This window comes from Homo sapiens, chromosome 12 (assembly GCF_000001405.40).
Source record: "Homo sapiens chromosome 12, GRCh38.p14 Primary Assembly".
NCBI classification, from domain to species: Eukaryota; Metazoa; Chordata; class Mammalia; order Primates; family Hominidae; genus Homo; species Homo sapiens.
In genome coordinates this window covers 110,202,114-110,226,536 of record NC_000012.12, presented here as the reverse complement: position 1 = coordinate 110,226,536, position 24,423 = coordinate 110,202,114, and the positions used below count along the sequence as shown (strand labels likewise).

The 24,423-nt window shown below is 38.9% G+C and overlaps 1 protein-coding gene across 10 annotated transcripts in view, besides 1 other annotated feature; it reads right to left on the bottom strand.

Moving 5' to 3' along the window:
• Positions 2,291-2,791: an enhancer, noted in NCBI's record as "H3K4me1 hESC enhancer chr12:110661551-110662051 (GRCh37/hg19 assembly coordinates)". NCBI's record gives its function as "activates a minimal SCP1, AML or CMV promoter by ChIP-STARR-seq in naive H9 embryonic stem cells {active_cell/tissue: H9 hESC(naive)}" and the evidence as "EXISTENCE:reporter gene assay evidence [ECO:0000049][PMID:30033119]".
• IFT81 (intraflagellar transport 81) overlaps positions 7,744-24,423 on the bottom strand; it is a 94,437-nt gene continuing 77,757 nt past the window's right edge. For 9 of the 10 annotated variants that reach the window (NR_144952.2, NR_144949.2, NR_144951.2 and 6 more), the window contains 5 exons: positions 22,587-22,673; positions 21,023-21,094; positions 20,857-20,942; positions 17,321-17,366; positions 7,744-8,493 (listed from right to left, as the gene is read on the bottom strand). Coding sequence is in view for 5 of the 10 variants with exons in the window: in XM_017019217.2 (XP_016874706.1) it covers positions 8,311-8,493; positions 17,321-17,366; positions 20,857-20,942; positions 21,023-21,094; positions 22,587-22,673 (474 nt within the window). In the remaining 5 variants the exon portion in view is untranslated. Of the gene's footprint in view, positions 8,494-17,320; positions 17,367-20,856; positions 20,943-21,022; positions 21,095-22,586; positions 22,674-24,423 lie in introns of those variants that run through there. The other variant, XR_007063070.1, reaches the window with a different exon arrangement.

The window sequence follows — 24,423 nt, the reverse complement described above, 5'->3', positions numbered from 1 at the left end:
AAGATAACAAATATTCGCATCAAAATAAATGAGTGGACTTTTAATTTCATTCTCCTATTAATCAAGTATTATCTTGTTAATTTCTTTGGTTAAGAAAGAAATTGCCTGTTGGTATTTTCACAGAAAAAGACAAGAAATATCTATAAAACTGTTCAACAGATTCTGGATTTAACCGAATTTGATAAATTTTGTGGTTTTGCTTAATTACCTTATTGTATTTTAATCTTTTTTAATTTTTTTAATTTTTATTTTTTGAGACAGAATCTCGCTCTGTCACCCAGACTGGAGTGCAGTGGCACAATCTTGGTTCACTGCAACCTCTGCCTCCAGGGTTCAAGCGGTTCTCCTGCCTCAGCCTCCCAAGTAGCTGGGACTACAGGCGTGCACCACCACACTCGGCTAATTTTTTGTATTTTTAGTAGAGACAGGGTTTCACCATGTTGGCCAGGCTGGCCTCAAATTCCTGGGCTCAAGTGATTCTCTTGCCGTAGCCTCCCGAAGTGCTAGGATAAGGCATGAGCACCACACCCAGCTGTATTTCTTTCTTTCTTTTTTTTTTTTTCTCCAGACGGAGTCTAGCTCTGTCGCCCAAGCTGGAGTGCAGTGGTGTGACCTCGACTCACTGCAACCCAGGCGGAGGCCTCCTGGGTTCAAGATTCTCCTGCCTTAGCCTCCCAAGTAGCTGGGATTATAGGCACCTGCCACCACGCCCAGCTAATTTTTGTGTTTTTAGTAGAGATGGGGTTTCACTGGGTTGGTCAGGCTGGTCTGGAACTTCTGACCTCATGATCCGCCCACCTCAGCCTCCCAAAGTGCTGAGATTACAAGCGTGAGCCACCGTGCCTGGCCACCCAGCTGTATTTCAATCTTTAAGTTTCATTCCAGCATTGTTCATAAAGTGAAAAACTGGAGTTGATCTAAATGTCCAGCAATTGGAGACATGCATGATTTTAACACACAGATAGATTTAAATGATAACCCTATAAAGTTTCAGTTTGCTCTGTATTTAAAACTACTACTCATTTCTTTCATTCATTTACTGAACATTTATTTTCAGTATAATTCCCTCATCTGGTTGGTTGAGGTTACTTTTAACCATTTAGTAAAGTTTATTCTTTAGGTATAGTAAGCAAACACATTTTTTAAAAAAAGGTACTATAATTTTATAATAAGCACTAAAAATTATTTCATACCATAACTCATAAACAGACATCAATCTGTTTGCTTATATACAATAGGTATATACATGGGTCACACTGCAATATAAGTACTTAAGAGCACAGGTTTTGGATCCTGGCTCTGCCACAATCATTAGTTGTATAATATTGTGAAAGTCTCTCTGTGCTTCAGTTCCCTTATCTATAAAATGCGGATAATTGCAGCTGCCTCATAAGGTTATTGTGAGAGTTATGTTAGTTCTACACATATAAAGCATTTAGGACAGTGCCTGGTACAAATGGAGTGCTCAGTACCAGGTTATTTGCTTGAATCACTCATGATCATGGTCGTGATTAGAGCTTCAGGGAATAAAATTTGTTAAATCTTGCTTTGCATAACTGAAGTTCATAAAAAGTCCTTTGTAAGTCTGCTTCAGTTTCAGAACCAATAACTTAATTAGGTTGTGCTCTAACAATGAAACAGGCTCCCTCATGAGGAGTGAGCCGCATTGCGGGTACACTACTATGGCTGGAAAGTGATTCGCTACATGCGCTACAGAACTGATTTCCACACTGGAGAGAGGTTGGAAGAGATCCCTCAAAGCTCCTGATCTAATAAATGATTATATGAATCATTCTGAGGTTCCTTTCAAGCTCCAAAATTCTATGACTGTTTACCAGGATATCGCATGCAGCATTAAGCAGCCAAGCCAGGAACCTGCTGTTACACTCTGAACTGAGGTGTAAACACATACTTTCACCGAAAAACAAAAATCTTTAATTTCTTCCTGTGCTCGGAATAGTGAATTTCCATAGCAGTAAACCAAGTTTGGTGACTCAAGCCTCTCAGCAATTCTGGAAAGGAAATTGTGAAAATATCGATGTTTGCCAAGAAAGTACTTCCAGTTTGCCAAAAGAGGGAGCATAGGAGCAGAAAGCATATGTTTGTCCAAGTCTCTTAAAAATACTTATTTGGGATCTGTGTTTTATTTTTTGATTTCTTTTGCAAGGATGGGGTGGGGCTAAACAATATTTACAGTCAACTTCTCTTTTTAAGATTATCTTAAGACAGTAGGGTCAAAGATAAAAAATACATAGATAACTTTTAATGATCCCTCTCCATCCCCCGAGACAAAACACTCATCCCAGGCCTGGCTGCCATACGCCAAGCAGCTCTAATTTAAACTGCTCTCATTAAAAGGAAGAGGAAGAGGAGCTAAGCCAGTATGAGTGGAGGAATAATTTACATATTTAATAAAGATACAGCTTTATTTCTCTCCTGGCTGCCATGAATTGTCTAAAAAAGAAAGATCTGTTGCATATGTAATCTACTCCTCACCTGTAGGTGAGTAACAATCAGTAACAATGACGTTACTGATAAAACCAAGTTTAAAGAAAGTTAATCATCAGGATGCTATCTTACCCGTTCCCTGGGGCTAAAGACTCCTTCATGCCAGACAAGATGAATGATGTAAGCACCTAGAATCCTTTGTAGAAACAAGTCATTTACTCACACTCATTAGTCACTAATATAGGGTAGAATGCCTGCATAAGACAAGGCTTCTATAAGACACACACCTGCATACAAAGTCATTTTTCTTTTTCTTTTTTCTTTTTTTTTTTTGAGATGGAGTTTCGCTCTTGTTGCCCAGGCTGGAGTGCAATGGAGCAATCTGGCTCGCTGCAACCTCCACCTCCCAGGTTCAAGTGATTCTCCTGCCTCAGCCTCCCGAGTAGCTGGGATTACAGGCATACACCACCACGCCTGGCTAATTTTGTATTTTTAGCAGAGATGGGATTTCTCCTTGTTGGTCAGGCTGGTCACGAACTCTTGACCTCAGGCGATCTGCCTGCCTTGGCCTCCCAAAGTGCTGAGATTACAAGCGTGAGCCACTGTGCCCAGCTACAAAGTCATTTTTCAATGCAAACTTTGACTTTGCCTTTGTAGAGACAGCTTTGACAAGTTATCAGTTTGCCATTTTTCATATTCAACTCAGAAGAATTCTGCAAATTTGTATATTTTTAGTTTCAGCAATATATTTAGTCTTTTATTTTACTCAAATTATAAAAAGTGCTCTGTATTGTGTTACCTTAAAAAGTTAAGAAACATACTTGGGGCCGGGCGCGGTGGCTTATGCCTGTAATCTCAGCACTTTGGGAGGCCGAGGCGGGTGAATCACCTGAGGTCTGGAGTTCAAGACCAGCTGACCAATATGGTGAAACCCCATCTCTACTAAAAATACAAAAAGTTAGCTGGCCGTGGTAGCACATGCCGGTAATCCCAGCTACTTGGGAGGCTGAGGTAGGAGAATTGCTTGAACGCGGGAGGCGGAGGTTGCAGGGAGCCAAGATCCTGCCATTGCACTCCAGCCTGGGCAAAAAGAGCAAAACTCTGTCTCAAAAAAAAAAAGAAATGGACTTGGAAAGTGCATAGATCTTACAAATTTATAAATGTTAATTAGGCAGAATAACACATTTACGTTTATTTGATAGTTTAAATGAAATTCCTTCCTTTATTATCGTCTCCTGAATTAGAGCAAAATAAGGGCAAGTATTAATCTAAAGAAAAAGGTAGGTGTTCTGCAATTTCTGGTTTTATTTCCATAGGGATTTGAACAGTATTCTAAGACCCTTCTGGTACATTCTCCAGACCTAGAAAATACATGGCTTTGGAATTCAGTTAACAGATTTATAACAGAAAGCACATTATCCTATTATAAGATTCTTCTTAAAGGGCACCATTTAAATTTGGATTGTTTCCTGAATTAATACAGAAAGCAAGATAAGCAGTGGCCTTTTGAAATTTACAATCATACAGTCAGTCCCATGCAACGGTTGGCAACTAGAAGAAGGAAATCTGTGAACACAGAGGCAGATTTCACAGGCTGCATTCTTCTCCTTTATTTGGGCCATCACATGAAAGACAAATTAGTTTCTGAAATGATTAAGTACTCTGATCAATTAGCTAGCCAGAGTATCAATCCTGAAGGAAAAATGTAATAAGCTCTTTAGTAAGTGCCAGCTGTCAAAGACTGTCAAGGTTAGTTAAAGTTTTTTAATGTTCCAATCAAATCATGAAATGAGTGGAAAGTCACTGCACTAAACCCATTAAGCTGCATTACTAAATGTCCAATGTTACACACAATCTATAAATAACTTTGTACTTTTAGAGTTTTATTTCTTCAGTTTGCTTTTCTTGAAGTAATAATGATGTTCTGCTTCAGTGAATAAAGTAATTTTGGAGCTGCCTTTGTGTTTAATCCACATATTCCTTCTGTATGGAGTAAAGATGGCAAGTAATAATCAAATCAGTAGAATTCTAAGGATTCTGTGGAGTATCTGTCATCAACCATTTTAAAAATCAAGAGGAGTACCAAAGACAGTGAAGGGCTAAAAAATAATTAATCACTAGGCTTAATAATTTTGTGAACTGACTTTCCTCTGGAGGAATAAAATGCTGTTTCTATAAAGGGCATCTAGTCTTTTTCAAATACTTGCAAAGGAATTCATATTCTGTTTAAAGGAGCATCACTTAACTATTGGCTTAAAAACAACATGCCAGTAACCAACACCACACAAATATATCTATGTCACTATCCAAAAAATGATGATTGAATTAAGGATTTGTTTCTACACACTAAGACACAGCTTTTCCTCTTTTGGGGGATTGCTGATCTGCTAGTTGATCTAAAGGCACAAATGACAATGCTGGCAGCTGATACTTGCCCAAATAAGAGGATAAAACAAGCAGAGGACCAATTCAAATCACTTATGAACACTGAAATACTTCTGTTTTCCTTATAAAAATTTAAAAGATATTTCTCTCCATACTTTCCCGGTAAGTCCAGTTCTTCCTTATTCTGATGGACCCCATCTCTTCTTGCTACAGCTCCTAGAATTACCAATTATCTCTAGCTAGTGAGGCTCTTTGATTACCAATAAAAAACCTTTCAAACAAAAATTAAGAGTAGGACACACATGGGAACAAAGAGATCCATATTTTTTACAGGGTAGAAACAATTTTCTTCTTTAAAAAATATTTTTGGTGGTGGTACATGCCTGTAATCCCAGCTACTTGGGAGGCTGAGGCAGGAGAATGGCTTGAACCTGGGAGATGGAGGTTGCAGTGAGCTGAGATTGCGCCATTGCACTCCAGCTTGGGCAACAAGAGCGAAACTCCATCTCAAACAAAAAAAAAAAAGTTTTGGGCCAAGTATGGTAGCTTATGCCTAATCCTAGCACTTTGGGAGGCCAAGGTGGGAGGATCACTTGAAGCCACAAGTTCAAGACTAGCCTGGGCAACAAAAGGAGACCCCATCTAATATGGTTTGGATGTTTGTTCCCTCCAAATCTCATGTTGAAATGTAATCTCCAGTGTTGGAGGTGAGGCCTGGTGGGAGGTGTCTAGATCATGGAGGTGGATCCTCGTGAATAACTTAATGTCATCCCCGCGGTGATTAGTGATTTCTAGCTCTGAGTTCACACAAGATCTGGTTCTTTAACAGTGAGTGACAACTGCCCCTGACCTCTCGCTCCTGCTCTTTCCATATGATGTGCTGGTTCCCCTTTCACCATGAAGCTTTCACCTGAGGCCCTGGCCAAGAGGAGATGCCATCACCATGCTTCCTGTACAGCCTGCATAACCATGAGCCAATTAAACCTCTTTTCTTTATAAATTAGCCAGCCTCAGGTATTTGTTTATACTGACACAAAAACAGCTTACATGGCATCTCTACCAAAAAAAAAAAAAAAAATTAGCCAGGCATGGTGGCATGTGCCTATAGTCCCAGCTAACTTGACCCCAGAAGTTTGAGGCTGCATTGAGCTATGATTATATCACTGCCTCCCAGCCTGGGCAACAGAGAAAGATCCCATCTCTAAAAAAAAAAACAACAAAAAATTTTTTTAAAGACAGCTGAAAAGAACTAGCCTAAGATGGACATGCTAATAATTCGAAATTTGAGTTTTCAAATCTAAAGGCAAGATATTTTGAAAAAGTACTGAAATTGAAATGAAGTAAAGCATGGCACATGAATTTGGTATCTTTCTAAGGGAAACCAAAGAAATCTTCAAGTACCTTGTCCAAATGAAGCAGAGATTGGAAGCACTTTGAACTCTTGAATTTCACTTTGAGTCTTGTGCTACATTTAATATGTGATATCTATATTCTATGAAAATTTTTTTATATTTAAAATATCAGGCTGGGCGTGGTGGCTCATGCCTGTAACTGTAATCCCAGCACTTTAGGAGGCTGAGGCGGGTGGATCACTTGAGCTTAGGAGTTCGAGACCAGCCTGGCCAACATGGTGAAACCCCATCTCTACTAAAAATATAAAAACTAGCCAGGTGTGGTGGTGCATGCCTGTAATTCCAGCTATTCGCAAAGCTGAGGCAGGAGAATTGCTTGAATCTGGGAGGCAGAGGTTGCAGTGAGCTGAGATTGCACCACTATACTCCAGCCTGGGCAACAGAGCAAGAGACTGTCTCAAAGAAAAAATAAAATGAAATAAAATAACGGTTCCCACAACTATCAGATTATTGTTACATTATTATTATTATTTTTTGAGACAGAGTCTTGCTCTATTGCCCAGGCTGGAGTACAGTGGCGTGATCTTCGCTCACTGCAAACTCCACATCCCAGGTTCAAGTGATTCTCTAGCCTCAGCCTTCCAAGTAGCTGGGACCACAGGTGTGCCACCACACCCGGCTAATTTTTGTATTTTTTGTAGAGACAGGGTTTTGTCATGTTGCCCAGGCTGGTCTCGAACCCCTGACCTCAAATGATCTGCTTGCCTCAGCCTCCCAAAGTAGTGGAATTACAGGCATGAGCCACTGTGCCCAGGTTGGTTATTATATTATTAAATCTGTAATAGGCCAGGCATGAGTGGCTCATGCTTGTAATCCCAACACTTTGGGAGGCTGAGGCAGGCAGATCACCTGATGTTGGTTGGGAGTTCAAGACCAGTCTGGTCAACATGGTGAAACCCTGTTGCTACTAAAAATACAAAAATTGGCCAGGTGTGATGGCGGGCGCCTGTCATCTCAGCTACTTGGGAGGTGGAGGCAGGAGGATTGCTTGAATCCCGGAAGCAGAGGTTGCAGTGAGCTGAGATCACACCACTGCACTCCAGCCTGGGCAACAGAGTGAGACTCCACCTCAAAAAAAAGAAAAAAAAGTCTGTAATAGATTTTTGGTGAAAATAAGTAATAATGTGGCCAGGCGTGTAGGCTCATGCCTGTAATCCCAGCACTTTGGGAGGCCGAGGCAGGCAGATCACGAGGTCAGGAGATCGAGACCATCCTGGCTAACACGGTGAAACCCTGTCTCTACTAAAAATACAAAAAGTTAGCCGGGCATGGTGGCAGGTGCCTGTAGTCCCAGCTACTCAGGAAGCTGAGGCAGGAGTATGGCATGAACCTGGGAGGTGGAGCTTGTAGTGAGCCGAGATCATGACACTGCACTCCAGCCTAGGCAAAAGAGCGAGACTCCGTCTCAAAAAAGAAAAGAAAAGAAGTAATAATCCTTCAATTTAATATTAGATGTTAATACTTTAAAAAGAATAAATTTTGACACAAGACAACTATACATTTTTTAAATAGATATGAAATACGTACCAAGTTTATTTGCCTTTAAATGATACAAACAGAAAAGACATGTTAGTCAAAATATTAAATTTTCTTGCATTTTACAGAAGAAAAATAAACTGAAGTAAAACTGTAGGAACTGCTGAACGTCAGATAAATGTTTCTTCAGAACAAGAGATATTAGTTCCTAAAAGATTCTTCTAAAGTTTTTTTAAAAGAGATTAAGAAAAACAGTAAGCCACTGGGTTATTACATTCTAAAAAAAAACTACATGTTTCTTAATGGACATATGTTTACATTTACAGATAGTAAACTTAGTTTCCTGTCTCATAAAACTCAGAAGACGCCAGTGATGTCTAAACTATGGAAAAGAATAAAAGCCTCTTTTTCATATGAAAAAACATTCAAACTAAATCTACCTTAACATTATTTTCTATGAAAACTTAATAAAGAATGGCTCTTCTGAAAACAAAATGCTATACAAATCAGTTTCAAAAAAGAAATACATTATGAGATTAGGCTTATAGCTAGTGGTATCAAGTAAAACCCCAAACGATGACACAAGAATTCACAGTATTAGCCGGTCCTCCCCACCCTCCTGAATTACCTGACCAATGGAAGTTTGGCTTTGTTGTTTCAGAAAGCACTGTTTCTTACATTCCATTAATTGTTCCAAATCACGCCACATTTTTGCTTGTTTCATATTTGGACCATGACTTTCTCGTATAACTTTTTGTTTTTCCCGAAGTTTCTATCATTAAAAAAAAACAAGAATAATTAAATCTCAGTTACAGGGGTTTATTTCTATTGCTATAGTCGGAGGAATATGGTATGTTTTCTACAGTAGATAAAAAATAGTTAGCTAAACCACATACTCTATAATGTACCAAAACTAAGATTATAAAAGTTAACTAAGGCCAGACGAGGTGGCTCATGTCTGTAAACCTAGCACTTTGGGAGGCTGAGGTGGGCAGATCATGAGGTCAGGAGATCAAGAGCTCTACTAAATCCAACACTAAGTCAAACTGTTTGCCTTTCTAGTTCTCCAAAAAAATACAAAAAAAAATTAGCCAGGCATGGGGGCACGCGCCTGTAGTCCCAGCTACTCGGGAGGCTGAGGCAGGAGAATCGCTTGAACCTGGGAGGCGGAGTTTGCAGTGAGCCGAGATCACGCCACTACACTCCAGCTTGGCAACAGAGCAAGACTCTGTCTCAAAGAAAATACAAAAAACAAAAACAAACAAACAAAAAAAACTACACAAAACTATAAAAGGAAGTGAGAGAAAAAGATAGTTAGGAAAGTGGAACAGTATCATGGTGTGAAAAGAAGAATGTAGAGTTTGGAAGTCAGAAGACTTCGGTTTTAATCTGGTTTTGTCTCCTCTAGTGGTAAGCAAGGCACTTAATTTCTTGGGACTTCAGTTTTCTCAATTATCAATTAAGGTTAATAGACCAGGCATGGTGGCTCACGACTGTAATCCCAGCACTTTGGGAGGCTGAGGCGGATAGATCACTTGAGGTTAGGAGTTCGAGACCAGCCTGATCAACAAGGTGAAACCCTATCTCTACTAAAAATACAAAAATTAGCAGGGCATGGTGGCGTGTGCCTGTAGTCCCTGCTACTCAGGAGGCTGAGACAGGAGAATGGCTTCAATCTGGGAGGTGGAGGTTGCAATGAGCTGCAGTCGTGCCACTATGAGACTCTAAGTCAAACTGCTTGCCTTTCTAGTTCTCCAACAAAAACCAGCTAGGAGGATATACATGACATATTACTCAAGAATGTACAGTTATAGCTCATATAGCTTTAAAATAATTCATTTATTAGCCTAAGCCTGAGAAATGTCCACATTTTGTTTTAGAATTTCCATTTACATAAAAATTTCTCAAGAAACCAACAGGATCAGTATATTCTATATACTAAAACCTAATACTTATTTATTCAAGATATAATTATGAAGCACCTGTTATATGTCAGGTATGCTTGGAGTTTCAAGTGGAAAACAGGACTCATGCTATATAGGTGGGCAGATCACCTGAAGTCAGGAGTTCGAGACCAGCCTGGCCAACATGGTGAAATCCCATCTGTACTAAAAATACAAAAATATGAAATACAAAAATTAGCCGGACATGGTGGCATGTGCCTGTAATTCCAGCTACTCAGAAGGCTGAGGCAGGAGAATTGCTTGAACCTGGAAGGCAGAGTGAGCCAAGATTGTGCCACTGCACTCCAGCCTGGGCAACAGAGTGAGATTCCGTCTCTGGAAAAAAAAAAAAATTAAGGTGAATAATAGGAGGCTGGGGGCTGGGCACGGTGACTCACACCTGTAATTCCAGCACTTTGGGAGGCCAAGGCAGGAGGATTGCTTGAGCTGGGGAGTTCAAGGCCTGCCTGGGTAACATGATACTCTGTCTCTACAAAAATAAAAATTAAAAAATTATCTGGGCATGGTGGTGGCACATGCCTGTAGTCCTAGCTAGTTGGGAGGCTGAGGTGGAAGGGTCACTTGAGCCAGGAATTTGAGGCTGCAGTGAGCTATGCTCTCACCACTGCACTCCAGCCTGGGCAACAGAGCGAGATCCTGTCTCTTAAAAACAAAACAAAACAAAACAAAACAAAACAACCAAACCAAGGCTAATAATAGGGGAAAATAAAAGTATTTACTTGGTAAGATTATGTTTTCAAGTGACATAATAGATATTGAAATACTTGATAAATTATCATGTATTATATATATCCTTGTTATTAAATGTTATATTCTATCTTATCCTGAAACAGTGTATACTCTATTTATGTCCAAATAAATCAAATTGTATGCACATATACTTCAGAGAGCAGGCCCAGTGATTACGAAAATAGTACACTATTAAATAAGCCAAAATCCTTCTTAGAATTGTTTTTGTTACTAACATCTTAGATGGTCCACCTGCCAAAACTGTTTTACTCATTGACTCTAAAATTTTAAACAGGAATAAAAGAATCTTCAATAAATTACAAAAATATACTTTAGTTCTATATTATGGCAAATTGAGGAAGGGTGACTGAAAGCAAGAGTAGACACAAAGTCAGAGACAATAAGTGACACGGTAGGAAAAAAGAGAGAGAGAATCCAGCCTGGGCAACAAAGTGAGACGCCCCTGTCTCTACAAAAAAAAAATTTTTTTTTAATTAGTTGTGTATGGTGGCACATGCCTGTGGTCCCAGCTACTCAGGAGGCCGAGGCAAGAAGATCACTTGAGCCTGGGAACTCAAGGCTGCAGTGAGCTGTGACCATGCCATTACACTCCAGCCCAGGTGACGAGTGAGACTGTCTCAAAAAAAAAAAAAAAAAAAAAAAAAAAAAGAAGAAGAAGAAGAAGAGAAGAAAAAGAAAAGAAAGGAATTCATTCATAATCCCATGTGCTAGAGACAACTACAGTTGACATTTTGGTAGAGAAGGTGAAAGTGCACATAGAACGAAATGCAGTGTGTTGGAAATATCTGTACCGACACCGAGTGTGAGAAAATCACCAAGAGGGACAGAAAAGCAAGCAGAGACACAGAGGCAGAGTGCAAAGGAACAACCTCATCCTTTCCTCTTTTAACATACGGTCAATATACTAGTTGATCTGAGACACAAATGAGAATGCTGGTAGTTGGTACTTGCCTAAATAAGAGGATTAACTAAGCTGAGGACCAGAGTCAAACCACCCATTAAATACTGCCCACCCAGCTATGCATAATGAAAGCAAAGTTAACAGCAAACAGGAATAGAAAACAACACAGAATTTTAAAAATATAAATATAACCAGTAAATTTTTTGATGCAATACCTGGCATATTAATACATCTATTTAAGTTTATGTTACAAATAATGTATCTTACAACAAATATTTTATCCTTATAAACTAAAAAGTATTTAGAAAGGCCATTAAGGCAGACCAAGAATTTTAAGACTTCTGCACACGATTTTAAATTAAGGCACTACTTAACCTGTAACTTTTCTTATATCATTGGAATAATTTCCTTGTCAAAAAATCCTAACAACCTATAAAAGTTATTTAAAGAACCAAAGACAGGATGTGGGCACTGTCTGTGTCAGAAATATTAAATTTAATTTGCTTCATAACCATGTGTGTTTGAAACCTTTAACTTTATGAATACAACTGATGTTAGTATGTATATATTTTAAATCTTATTATCATTTACATTTGTTTACAGTTGCAATGTACAAAAATTACTAATCACTGATTTCATTGTTCTTTAAAGGAGGAGATGGTGGTATAGAAGGGGGGAAACTCAGTTGGCCTGAGGAGGTCTATGGATGTCCAGTTTATATTGGCTTAGAGGGCTTAGACTATCATCACTTTGAAAGGCTGGGTTTGTTCTGTTTGCCTTGAAAATTTAGATCTACTCTAGAAGTTTGAGGATTAAGAAGCTTTGCTTCTTAAATGATACAGTCTGACATTTGGGGAATGAGCTAGTCATTGGTTCACTTGCTTAAATATACTTGATAAATTTTGAGTCTCTATCTCAAAAAAAAAAAAGTCAATTTTGACAATCATATAAAATCTTACAAATCCAAAAATCTCTAGTTAAAATATTATACAAATGAATGTTTATAATTTGATTCAAATATGTGCTTTCAAATATGAAAATTATTTCTTTTTTTCCTTTTAAGTATGGTGTGTCATCCCATAAGTGAAATAAGGTACACAGAATTCACTATTCTCCCAGTAAATGGAGGAATCAGCTTCAAGAAGGCTTCCTTTTATTTTTTATTTATTTTCTTTGATATAATGGTCATTTATTCACAAATCACAGGTGAACACTTTTTAGAGAAATGGCTAATTTCAGGTTTGAGACAGAAAATGTACAGTATGAAATTAGAACATTTTGTCACACCAGAAAACAAAGAAGCCATCAAAGTCTACTAGGATTTTTTCAAAAGGATTCAAAAGCTGACTTCAAGAGGCTTCCACTGGCCAAATTTGAGTACGAATGGGACTAATAATCACAATAGATTGAAACATATCAAATATGTTCAATCTAAAAGTCATAAGATTACTTTTGAAGGATGATAAAGAACCAACTCATCATTTTGAAAACCAGTAAATAGTGAATCAAGCAGTTATTGTACCTTTCTTATATGAATGTAACTCAGGGTAAGTAAACAGAAGATAAGGAGAAGTTGCTCTTTACAGAATTATTCCAGTCAATAAATGAAGAATGAATGACATAATCAGAATGTTACCACTGTGCAACTTCTAATGAATTAAGGATCTAGGAAATGATTATCAATGGCTGTCTACATCATAAGAAGAAAGCCTCCTGATAGAAGCACATACCACCATCTATGAAGTATTCTTGCCAAATATCAAAACATATTTAATCAAGCTTCTAGATCTAACTACCAATTCACAAGATATACTGGGGACAGAAGAACATGCTAATTGACACCAAAGGGTTACCAACAGCAAAGTTCAAAATGTTGAAAACCCACTAGGACAAATTACCGTTTTTTTTTTCTTTTCAACAAATAAATTGTAAGGAAAAAATGATGTAATGGGGGAGTAACCTGGAGAAAGAGAGACTTAAGAGATATATAAGCTAATAACAATGTATGGACTCTTATTAGGATCCTGATTCAAACAAATAAATCATAGTGAAGTTTGAACATTGGGTATTGGATGTTACGTAATTATTTTAAATTCTTTTCGGTAGGATAATGGTATTGTGGTTATGTTCAAAAAGAGTGTTTATGGTACATACTGAAATGTGATGAGATAAAATAATAAGTCTGCGATGTGCTTAAAAATAATTTAGAAAAAAAATTTGGGGCAGGTACTGGATGAGATTATAGACAAAACAAGGCTGGCCACGAATTTAATGATTAGAGTTGGATGATGGATATATATGGATTGATTAAAATATAGTTTTGAAAATCTCCATAATAAAGGCGATCATTTTTTTTTTTCTTTGAGATGGAGTTTTGCTCTTGTTTCCCAGGCTGGAGTGCAATGGTGTGATCTCTGCTCACTGCAACCTCCACCTCCTGGGTTCAAGCAATTCTCCTGCCTCAGCCTCCTGAGTAGCTGGGATTACAGGTGCCTGCCACCATGCCAGCTAGTTTTTTGTATTTTTAGTAGAGAAGGGGTTTCACTATGTTGGCCAGGCTGGTCTTGAACTCCTGACCTCAGGTGACCCACCCACCTTGGCCTCCCAAAGTGCTGGGATTACAGGCATGAGCCACTGCACCTGGGATGCTTTTTTTTTTTTTTAAGACACAGTTTCACTGTGTCGCACAGGCTGGAGTGCAGTGGCGTGACCTTGGCTCACTGCAACCTCTGGGTTCAAGTGATTCTCATGCCTCAGCCTCCCGAGTAGCTAGGATCACAGGCACATGCCACCACGCCTGGCTAATTTTTGTATTATTAGTAGAGATGAGGTTTCACCATGTTGGCCAGACTGGTCTCAAACTCCTGACCTCAAGTGATCTGCCTGCCTTGGCCTCCCAAAGTGCTGGGTTATAGTCGTGAGCCACTGCGCCCAGCCAAGTTTTTTTTTTTTTTTTTTAAAGTAAGGAACATATCACCTTTATTTACCAATTACTCCATTGTTTTCTATACCATTTGTTTTCTTAAGTTTACTTATAGGTTTCTAGGAGCTAATTCATCTTTCAAGTACAAGCATAGATAGACACACATATGTTTTTAATAATGATTCAAGCCAGGAAAATGTAAATAAGAGTGAATAACTTTGCCATCACCAATGTATTGAGTCATACCAGTAGCTAAACTGTACAAATACATATTAAGACGGAAATGAAGCCACATTTTTTCATTTGTATTTTAAGAATGGACAAGCTTCAATAAATATATAATCATTTACAGGTTTCAGAATATTTGAACAATGAAATTAGACATCCATATATAGTCAGTATTTTAAAAGAAAACTTGCAGCTAAACAACCCCTACCTATGATGCTACAAACTTAGAAAACCTAGTAAGAAGGCTGGGCGCAGTGGCTTGTGCCTGTAATCCCAGCACTTTGGGAGGCCAAGGTGGATGGATTGCTTGGGCTCAGGAGTTTGAGACCAGCCTGGGCAACATGGCGAAACCCCATCTCTACAAAAAATACAAAAAAATTAGCCAGGCGTGGTTTCTATCATTAAAAAAAAACAAGAATAATTAAATCTCAGTTACAGGGGTTTATTTCTATTGCTATAGTCGGAGGAATATGGTATGTTTTCTACAGTAGATAAAAAATAGTTAGCTAAACCACATACTCTATAATGTACCAAAACTAAGATTATAAAAGTTAACTAAGGCCAGACGAGGTGGCTCATGTCTGTAATCCTAGCACTTTGGGAGGCTGAGGTGGGCAGATCATGAGGTCAGGAGATCAAGAGCTCTACTAAATCCAACACTAAGTCAAACTGTTTGCCTTTCTAGTTCTCCAAAAAAACTAGCTCCTGCCTCCACCTCCCAAGTAGCACTCCTGTAGTCCGCTGAGGCGGGAGGATCGCTTGAGCCTGGGAGGCAGAGGATGCAGTGAGCTGAGATTGCACCACTGCACTCCAGCCTGGGTAACAGAGTGAGACCCTTCCCTAATATATTGCCAAAAAAAAAAAAAAAAAAAAAGAAAGCCTAATACGAAGTCCAGGTGTCGTGGCTCGTGCCTGTAATCCCACACTTTGGGAGGCCAAGGTGGGAGGATCGCTTGAGCCCAGGAGATTAAGAGCCTGGGCAATATGGCGAAACCCCGTCTCTACAAAAAAAAAAAAAATACAAAAATTAGCTGGGCATGGTGGCATGCTCCTGTAGTCCCAGCTATTCAGGAGGCTGAGGTGGGAGGATCGCTTGAGCGTGGGGAGGCCAAGGCTGCAGTGAGCCGAGATCGTGCCACTGCACTCCAGCCAGCCTAGGTGACAGAGTGAGACTCTGTCTCGAAAAAAAAAGGAAAAAGATTTTGAACACTAGGTATCGGATGTTAACATCCAATTGTTATTGTTTAACAACATAATTATTGTTAAATTATTTTTGGCATGATATTTTGGTATGATAGTGGTAGGAAACTTTTTTTTTTCACTCTGTCACCCAGGCTGGCTGGAGTGCAGTGGCATGATCTCGGCTCACTGCAGCATTGCCTCCCCAGGCTGAAGCAATCCTCCCACCTTAGCCTCCAGAGTAGCTGCAACTACAGGTGCATGCCACCTTGCCTGGCTAATTTTTGTATTTTTTGTAGAGATGGGGTCTTGCCATGTTGCCCAGGCTGATCTCAAACTCCCAGGTTCAAACAATCCTCCCACCTCAGCCTCCCAAAATGCTGGGATTACAAATAGGTATGGGTCACTTTGCCTGGCCAGAAAACATTATTTTCAATAGTGAAACTGAAGAAACAGAAAAAATGTTGTATAGTGAAACACAGTTAGTCTTCATTATGCAATATAGACTTAAAATCAATGAAGATGATCTTATAACTCATCTAAATCAATCTAGGTAATTTAATTTTTAAATTTCTCATCTACGTACTTCAGTTTAAATATGAGGAAATGAACTCTAAAGTGATTAGAGGGCTTGTTTAGAATCACAAGCCTAAGAGTGAAGCCAAGTCACTTGATGACTGGTCATCTTTCCTCTGAATTATTAGTAAGTATACGTTTTTTCTTTTTTTCTCCTAAGAATGCAAAGCTGGTGTCTTTGTTAAATTGGTTGCTTTATGAAGTCAGCTAGACTAACTAATCAGTTGGTCATTTAAGTCCTGATGGTCAAGGCTATAACTTACTCTCTACCACTTCTAGGAGTGGCTCAGAGAACTAAGAAAAATAATTATACAGTCCTATTTCAGTTGCCATCAGATAACTCTGGCAGGAGGGAGCTGAGCATCTCAAGCAAGGTTTTTCAGTTGTTTGTATTAAATAAATCAATGTTTGTAAAGCGCTTAGACTAGGGCTTAGAACTTTGTGTTTATTAAATAAAGTAAATGAATAAATTTACACCTATCTCATAAAGAGATATCTGAGAATAATTTTTTTTTTTTTTTTTTTTGAGATGGAGTATCGCTCTGTCACCCAGGCTAGAGTGCAATGGCGCAATCTCGGCTCACTGCAACCTTTGCCTCCCTGGTTCAAGTGATTCTCCTGCCTCAGGCTCCAGAGTAGCTGGGATTACAGGCGCCTGCCACCACGCCTGGCTAATTTTTGTATTTTTCATAGAGACGGGGTTTCACCATTTTGGCCAGGCTGGTCTTGAGTTCCTGACCTCAACTGATCCACTGGCCTTGGCCTTCCAAAGTGCTGGGATTACAGGCGTGAGCCACCGCGCCCAGCCTGAGGATAATCTGAAAACTGTAACGCAGAACATTATCATGAACTCTCTGTGATTTAAAAATAGATAATTTTTTCTTTCAAAAATCCATCGTGACTTTATTTCTGTAAAACTAAATTCTTAAGGAAGTCTTCCATCTTTAAAATGAATGAACAATTTCCCCTCAAAAACTGTACTATGACCTTTTGAAAACAATGACAGTCATAAACCATGTACAGTACTGAAAGCCTGAATCAGTTAGACACATTTAAAAAAATAAATAATAATTCTTACCTTTCCAAGGTTTTCTTGTTCAGCAGTATTTTTGGTATACTGTTCCCTAGGGAGTCAACATAATGATTTACTTTCAATTTACTTCAAATGATTTGATCATACAAGTGAATTATAAATTAATATATCTATCTAAAATACACTAGGCAATATAGTTTAGGGTACTGGAGTCAGAATGAAACCCATTATAAAATTCTTTGTCTTTCCCCATCTTTAGTTAGTTCTTCAAGTAAATAGTAATTTAAGGAAAAAAAAGAAAGCAAAACATTTAATAGGAAATTAAGATAATTAAAATGTTAAATACTATTTCTGGTTAATCTACCCTCAAAACAATGGCAACCCATCTGCTTAAATTACACATTGTTTTTGAAGAGGTTTGTAGAAAGGAGAAAGGATATACATTTTAAATAAACATTAAGTAGCATGTAATCTTGCAATTCTACTTCTAGGAAGTCATCCTACAAAAATATCCCATAACTTAAATAAACATAAAAGCAGACTATTTATTTCATCAATGCTTATAATAGTGAAAATATGCAAACAAACTAAATGTCTATAGATGGGAAAATGTTTAAGCAAATTATGGCATATCTATTGAAACAAATAATAAGGAGTTATACAAAAGAATGAGGTAAATCTATAAATACTGAAGTGGAAAATATTCTAGATCAAGAGAAAAACAGCATATGTAGTTTAATCTTTTTTTTTTCCTTTGAGACAAGGTCTCACTCTGTTGCCCAGGTTGGAGTGCAGTGGCATGATCACACCTCATTGTAGCCTCCACCTCCCTGGCCCAAGTGAATCTCCCACTTTAGCCTCCCAGATACTGGGATTACAGACATGTGTCGCCATATTGGGCTAATTTTTTTGTATTTTTTTGGTAGACACAGGGTTTTGCCATGTTGCCCAGGCTGGTCTTGAACTCTGGGGCTCAAGCAATTGGCTCATCTCAGCTTCCCAAATGCTAGGATTACAGGTGTGAGCCACTACACCCAGGAGCAGTTTAATCTTATTTTTATATACATATGTATGTATACGTGTGTGTATACACACATACATATAACATTTCCCATGCATTAACTAACACACATATATACAGATGTATCAGCAAACGCATGGGAAAAGAATATGGCTTAATGTACACCAAAGTATTAACAGTAGACATTTCTGAGACATGGCAATAATGGACAGCATTCAACTTCTGTGCACACTACTTCATAATGGTTACTGTTGTTTTTACAAGTATTTCTTTTGTAAGCTAAAAAAAAAATTTTAATGTAAAAATTAAAAACATAATAACATTGTATTTTATTTGTAAACAAAATTATATTTCAATACTATTTAAGACAAAATGTGAGATTTAAAGCAGGTGACATGTTAAGGATAAAGACTGAAGGCTGGGGCTGGGCGCGGTGGCTCACGAGGTCAGGAGATCGAGACCATCCTGGCTAACACGGTGAAACCCTGTCTCTACTAAAAATTCAAAAAATTTAGCCAGGCGTGGTGGCGGGCACCTGTAGTCCCAGCTACTCAGGAGGCTGAGGCAGGAGAATGGCGTGAACCCAGGAGGCGGAGGTTGCAGTGAGCTGAGATCACGCCACTGCACTCCAGCCTGGGCAACAGAGTGAGACTCCGTCTCAAAAAAAAAAAAAAAAAAAAAAAAGACTGAAGGACGAGGGGTAAAGGAACACAGAACAAAGAAGAGACTGTTTTTGTGTGTGAAGCTACGCTGCAGTATTTAAGAAAAAATTAAACAATATAAAATTGGGACTCCAAGAAATCCTAAGCCATAAAAAGAGAAAATACAGCAGTCTAAGTAAAGGAAAATTTTGCAATTAGTCTTGATGAATCCTCATTTTCAGTAGGGCGTGGTGGCTCATGCCTGTAATCCCAGCACTCTGGGAGGCTGAGGAGGGTGGTTCACTTGAGGTCAGGAGTTTGAGACCAACCTGGCTAACATGGTGAAACCCCATTTCTACAAAAATACAAAAATATAAACTACAAAAATACAAATAACAAAAATTAGCCAAACACAGTGGCGTGTGCCTGTAATCCCAGCTACTTGGGAGGCTGAGGCAGGAGAATATGTTTGAACCTGGGAGGCGGAGATTGCAGTGAGCCGAGATCGTGCCACTGCACTCCAGCCTGGGTGACAGAGCAAGACTCCGTCTCAAAAAAAAAAAAATCTGGCTAGAAGACAGATCAGAAAATGAATAGTTCAAGAGCAATTATTTCCTTCTTTGCTATTTATATCGATAACTTTGGAAGAAATAGAACTTAATTTATAAAAATTTTTATTTTTTAAGAACAAATTTAACTTTTCTCATTTCTTATCATTGGCCATATAGATTTATATGAACAAAGTTTACATACAATGAAAGAATATGAATAAGTACATTTTTAGTTTAATATGTTAGAGTATTAGAAAAAACACTGCTCTATACAGTATTTTCAGTCTGGCTTGCATTCTAGTGCATTACATTGAAAAAAAATTCAGATTCTGCAAGACACTCTATTTCTTAGATTTTTTTTTTTTTTTTTTTTAAAGACAGAGTCTCCCTTTGTCGCTCAGGCTGGAACGCAGTGGCATGATTTCGGCTTACTGCAGCCCCTGCTCCCCGGGTTCAAGCGATTCCCACGCCTCGGCCTCCTAAGTAGCTGGGACTACGGGCGCCCACCACCATGCCCGGCCTCTTTTTATAACATTAATGTACATGCCACTCAAAATCTCAATGCAATCTAGAATAAACGTGAGTGCTACATTTTATCTGAATTTTTACTGAATAGTAATAGCAAAACATTTAATATTTGAATTGTGATGAGGAGCAAAGAAGGCTTATGTTGTTCAATGATTGCATTTTATCACACCTAGCAATTCAACCATAAATGTATTTTTTTTTAGGCAGGATTTGATTTATTACAGTACGCCACAAGCTGGGATTGCAAAAAAAGCACCATATAAGGACTAAGCAGTATTTACATATCCTTCTTGAAGACTGGTACACTGCAATCACACAATTTCCAGCTAAAATGCAGTCATCACACTGCACAATTAGCAGGCAGATGACTAGAGTCTAGGCCATGTGGGACTTTAAAAAGAGACCAACTTTACTGCTTATGACAAAGCAATTATGAAATTATATATATTCCTGGGTGGCGGGGAATGAAGAGTTATTGCTTAATGGTTACAAGAGTTTTTGTTTGGGATGATGAAAACATTTTGTAAATATACAGTGGTGATGGCTGTACAATATTGTGAATGTAATCAATGCCAATGAACTGTACACTTAAAAATGGGTAAAGTGGCAAATTTTATATATTTTATCACAATCAAAAAGTAAGCAAGCAAGAAATAAAATCATATGTATTCCTACTTAGCAGGGCTAAAATATCTAGATGTTTAGTAAGATTTAGTATTAAATAATATCTTAGTGTCTACTTACTTAAATATGCTAAATTTGTATAATTCTATCTTATTTATAAAACTTTTATTGGTGAAAATATTAAGTATCTCAATATAAAACAACAAAATCACTTGCCTAATTGCCTTTCTTTTTTCTTGTTGATCAGAAGAGATATATGCCTTCATCTCATCAGTAGCACGACGAAGTTGAACTTCTAGGTTCTAAATAGAAAGACTTCAGTTTTAGGGAAGACTTTGATATAGAAAAAACTCAGAAATGTTTTTGATCTACTTTGTCTTACCTTAATCATACAATTTGTATAATGGTATCTACTTTCTTCTTGAAGACATTCTTCACGGAGTCTTCTAACTTCCTATAATATATAATTTTAGATAGGTGACATTATCGAAAGAATGAGACAGATATGGCGACGATGACTTTAGATGTACAACAAAGGACTACCATCAGAGTCATTTCCTCTTCTGCAATTTTAACTTTGTTTATTCTAGCACAATAAGAGATAATCTTTTTCTAGAGAATACACATATCACTCTATAACCTGCAAGTTCAATTGTATTTTTTGAGACAGAGTCTCACTCTGTCACTCAGGATGGAGTGCAGTGGTGCAGTCTTGGCTCACTGCAACCTCCTCCTCGCAGGTTCAAGAGATTCTCGTGCCTCAGCCTCCTGAGGAGCTGAGACTACAGGCACGTGCCACCACGCCTGGCTAATTTTTGTATTTTTAGTAGAGACAGGGTTTCACCGGGTTGGCCAGGCTGATCTCGAACTCCTAGCCTCAAGTGATCCTCCCGCCCTGGACTCCCAAAGTGCTGGGATTACAGGCATGAGCGACTGCATCTGGCCCAATCATACATTTATTAAGTACCTACTGTGTGTCCAGCACTGTTCTAAGTGCTGAGGACACAGAAGTGAACAGGCAGGTTCCCTGCTTTCACTGAAGTAGAAGAAACCAACATAAACAAGGAAACATAATGAAGGATATTTGAGATGGGGATAAGCGCTATGAAGGAAATCCATCAGTAGAATGTGATAGAGGGACTGGGTGGGCCAGGTTGGGAAGAAGAGTGGGTAACATCAGGTGATCAGAGATCTCTGAAAGGCAGTGACACTAAGGCTGAGACCTAGTGATGAAAAGGAGAAGGGAGGGCGAAGAGTTAGGAGCAGAGTATATCACGCAGAAGGGAAGAGTACATGCAAAATCCCAAAGTGAAAACAAGCTTGGCCTGTTTAAAGCTCAGGAAGAAGGTCAGAGTGGCTGAAGCTCCATGGATGAGGAGTAGAGCACATGGACATGAAGTTCATAAGGCAGGTGGGGCCTTGTAGACCATAGTTTGGTGGTTAGATTTTATTTTAAGTGCAACAGGAAGCCAATGAAGGGTGGCAAAAATTTTAAACAGGTTTCTTAGGCTTCCCTATGAAGAATAAACCTTAGGAGAGCAAGAGTAGAAGCAAGAGAATAGGTAAGAGTTTACTGTGGGAGGCCAGGCAGCAGATAATGAGCCTTGTACTTTGCTGGGAGTGGTACAGATGGGAAATTAAGTGTGTACAAATTAAAGAAATAAAGATCTCTGGAGCTTAGGAGATGATGATAAAGATTTGGGAATCTTTTGACATTGATGTAGTGAAAATGTGCGTACACGGGCAGTATTTAAAACATTTTTTTTAGAGAGAGAGTCTTGCTCTGTGGCCCAGGCTAGAATGCAGTGGTGTGATCATAGCTCACTGTAGCCTCAAACTCCTAGGCTCAAGCAATCCTCCTGCTTCAGCCTCCAGAGTAGCTGGGACTACAGGTGTACACACAGGTAGTTTTTGCTAAATTGTTAAAATAAAAACTCTCTTCTTACCTGTTCTAATTTGGACCGATTGCTTTCGAGGCCTGCTGCACAGCTATCATACTGGGATTTCTTTTCATCACACTCCTGGGTCAGTTCCTAGTATAAAAAGGGAAAATGATTGAATAAGTGAAAAACAAAGGTCCCAAACATGGCTCTGAAACAATGCATGCCCTTGTCAGTCTTGTAACTTAACTCTAAGCTTCTTGGCATACTTAAGAGTTATTTATGCAACAACCAGACATTTGAGAATTATGATAGATGAAGGTGCTGATAATAATAATAGCTACCATGTATTGAGCTGTGTGCCAGGTTCTTTGTTAGGAGCTGGGGAGACAATAGTGAATAAAACAGCCAAAAATTCTTCCTCTCAAGTAATGTTCAGACAAGTAAACAGGCTGCTGAGAGCTATGATAGGAAAACACAAGGTGTTACAGAAGGCACACAGGACTCCCGGGAACCTAACCCAGGCTTGGGGATCAGTGGGGACAATTTCCTGGAGAAATTGATATCTAAGCTAATCACGAAGGATTAGTAAGAACAGTTAGGTGGAAGATGAACAAGGGGAAGACAGTATTTAAAAAAAAGGAACACTATGTATAAAGGATTGAAAGCTACAGAGAACAAGAATAATTAAGAAACTTATAAGTAGTTTACTATGCTGGTTTATTTATTTCTTTTGTTTGTTTGTTTGTTTGAGACGGAGTCTCACTCTACTGCCTAGGCTGGAGTGCAATGGTGCGATCTTGGCTCACTACAACCTCCGCCTCCTGGGTTCATGCGATTCTCCTGCCTCAGACTCCAAAGCAGCTGGGATTACAGGCATGTGCCACCATGCCTGGCTAATTTTTATATTTTTAGTAGAGATGGGGTTTCACTATGTTGGTCAGGCTGGTCTTGAACTCCTGATCTCAGGTGATCCACCTACCTCGGCCTCCCAAAGTGCTGGGATTACAAGCGTGAGCCACCGCACCCAGCCTATGCTGGTTTATTTCTGGGAAATGGTGAGGGGAGGCTGAAGACCTAGGCAGGGGCTTAATTAGAAGAACTTCGTAAAACATTCTAGGGTGTTTGAAATGTACCACTGACAATAACTAAATCTCAAAACGGCACCTCAAAAGAGATATTAATACCACCATATAATGCTTGCAGAAAGTTCAGGGAGAACAAGTACCTTGCCAAAGATTATACTGCTAAGAAAAGGTGGAGTCTGCTGGGCATGGTGGCTCACGCCTGTAATTGAAGCACTTTGGGAGGCCAGGTGGGCGGATCATGAGGTCAAGAGATTGAGACCATCCTGGCCAACATGGTAAAACCCCATCTCTACTAAAAATACAAAAAAATTAGCTGGGCATGGTGGCACGTGCCTGTAGTTCCAGCTACTCAGGAGGCTGAGGCAGGAGAATCACTTGAACCTGGGAGGTGGAGGTTGCAGTGAGCCGAGATCACACCACTGCACTCCAGCCTGGCGACAGAGTGAGACTCCATCTCAAAAAAAAAAAAAAGGTGGAATCACAATTTGAATTCAGGTTAAGCAGTTTCTTTATTGCAAGGGGGCAGGGAGGAAATTTAAATTTTGTTTTCTTTAAGTTGTTTCAAAGTTTCTTCTAATGTAGTATTTTGAATGGGATAATTTGAAAATCTCCTGCTACAAACACCTAGAAATGCTAAAAGTACAGTCATGCATGGGATGATGTTTCAGTCACAACGGACCACATATATGATGGCAGTCCCATATGATTATAATGGAGCTGAAAAAATCCTTTCACCTTAGTGATATCATAGGCATCATAATGCCATAGTGCAACAAATTACTCATGTGTTTGTGGTGATGCTGGTGTAAACCAAT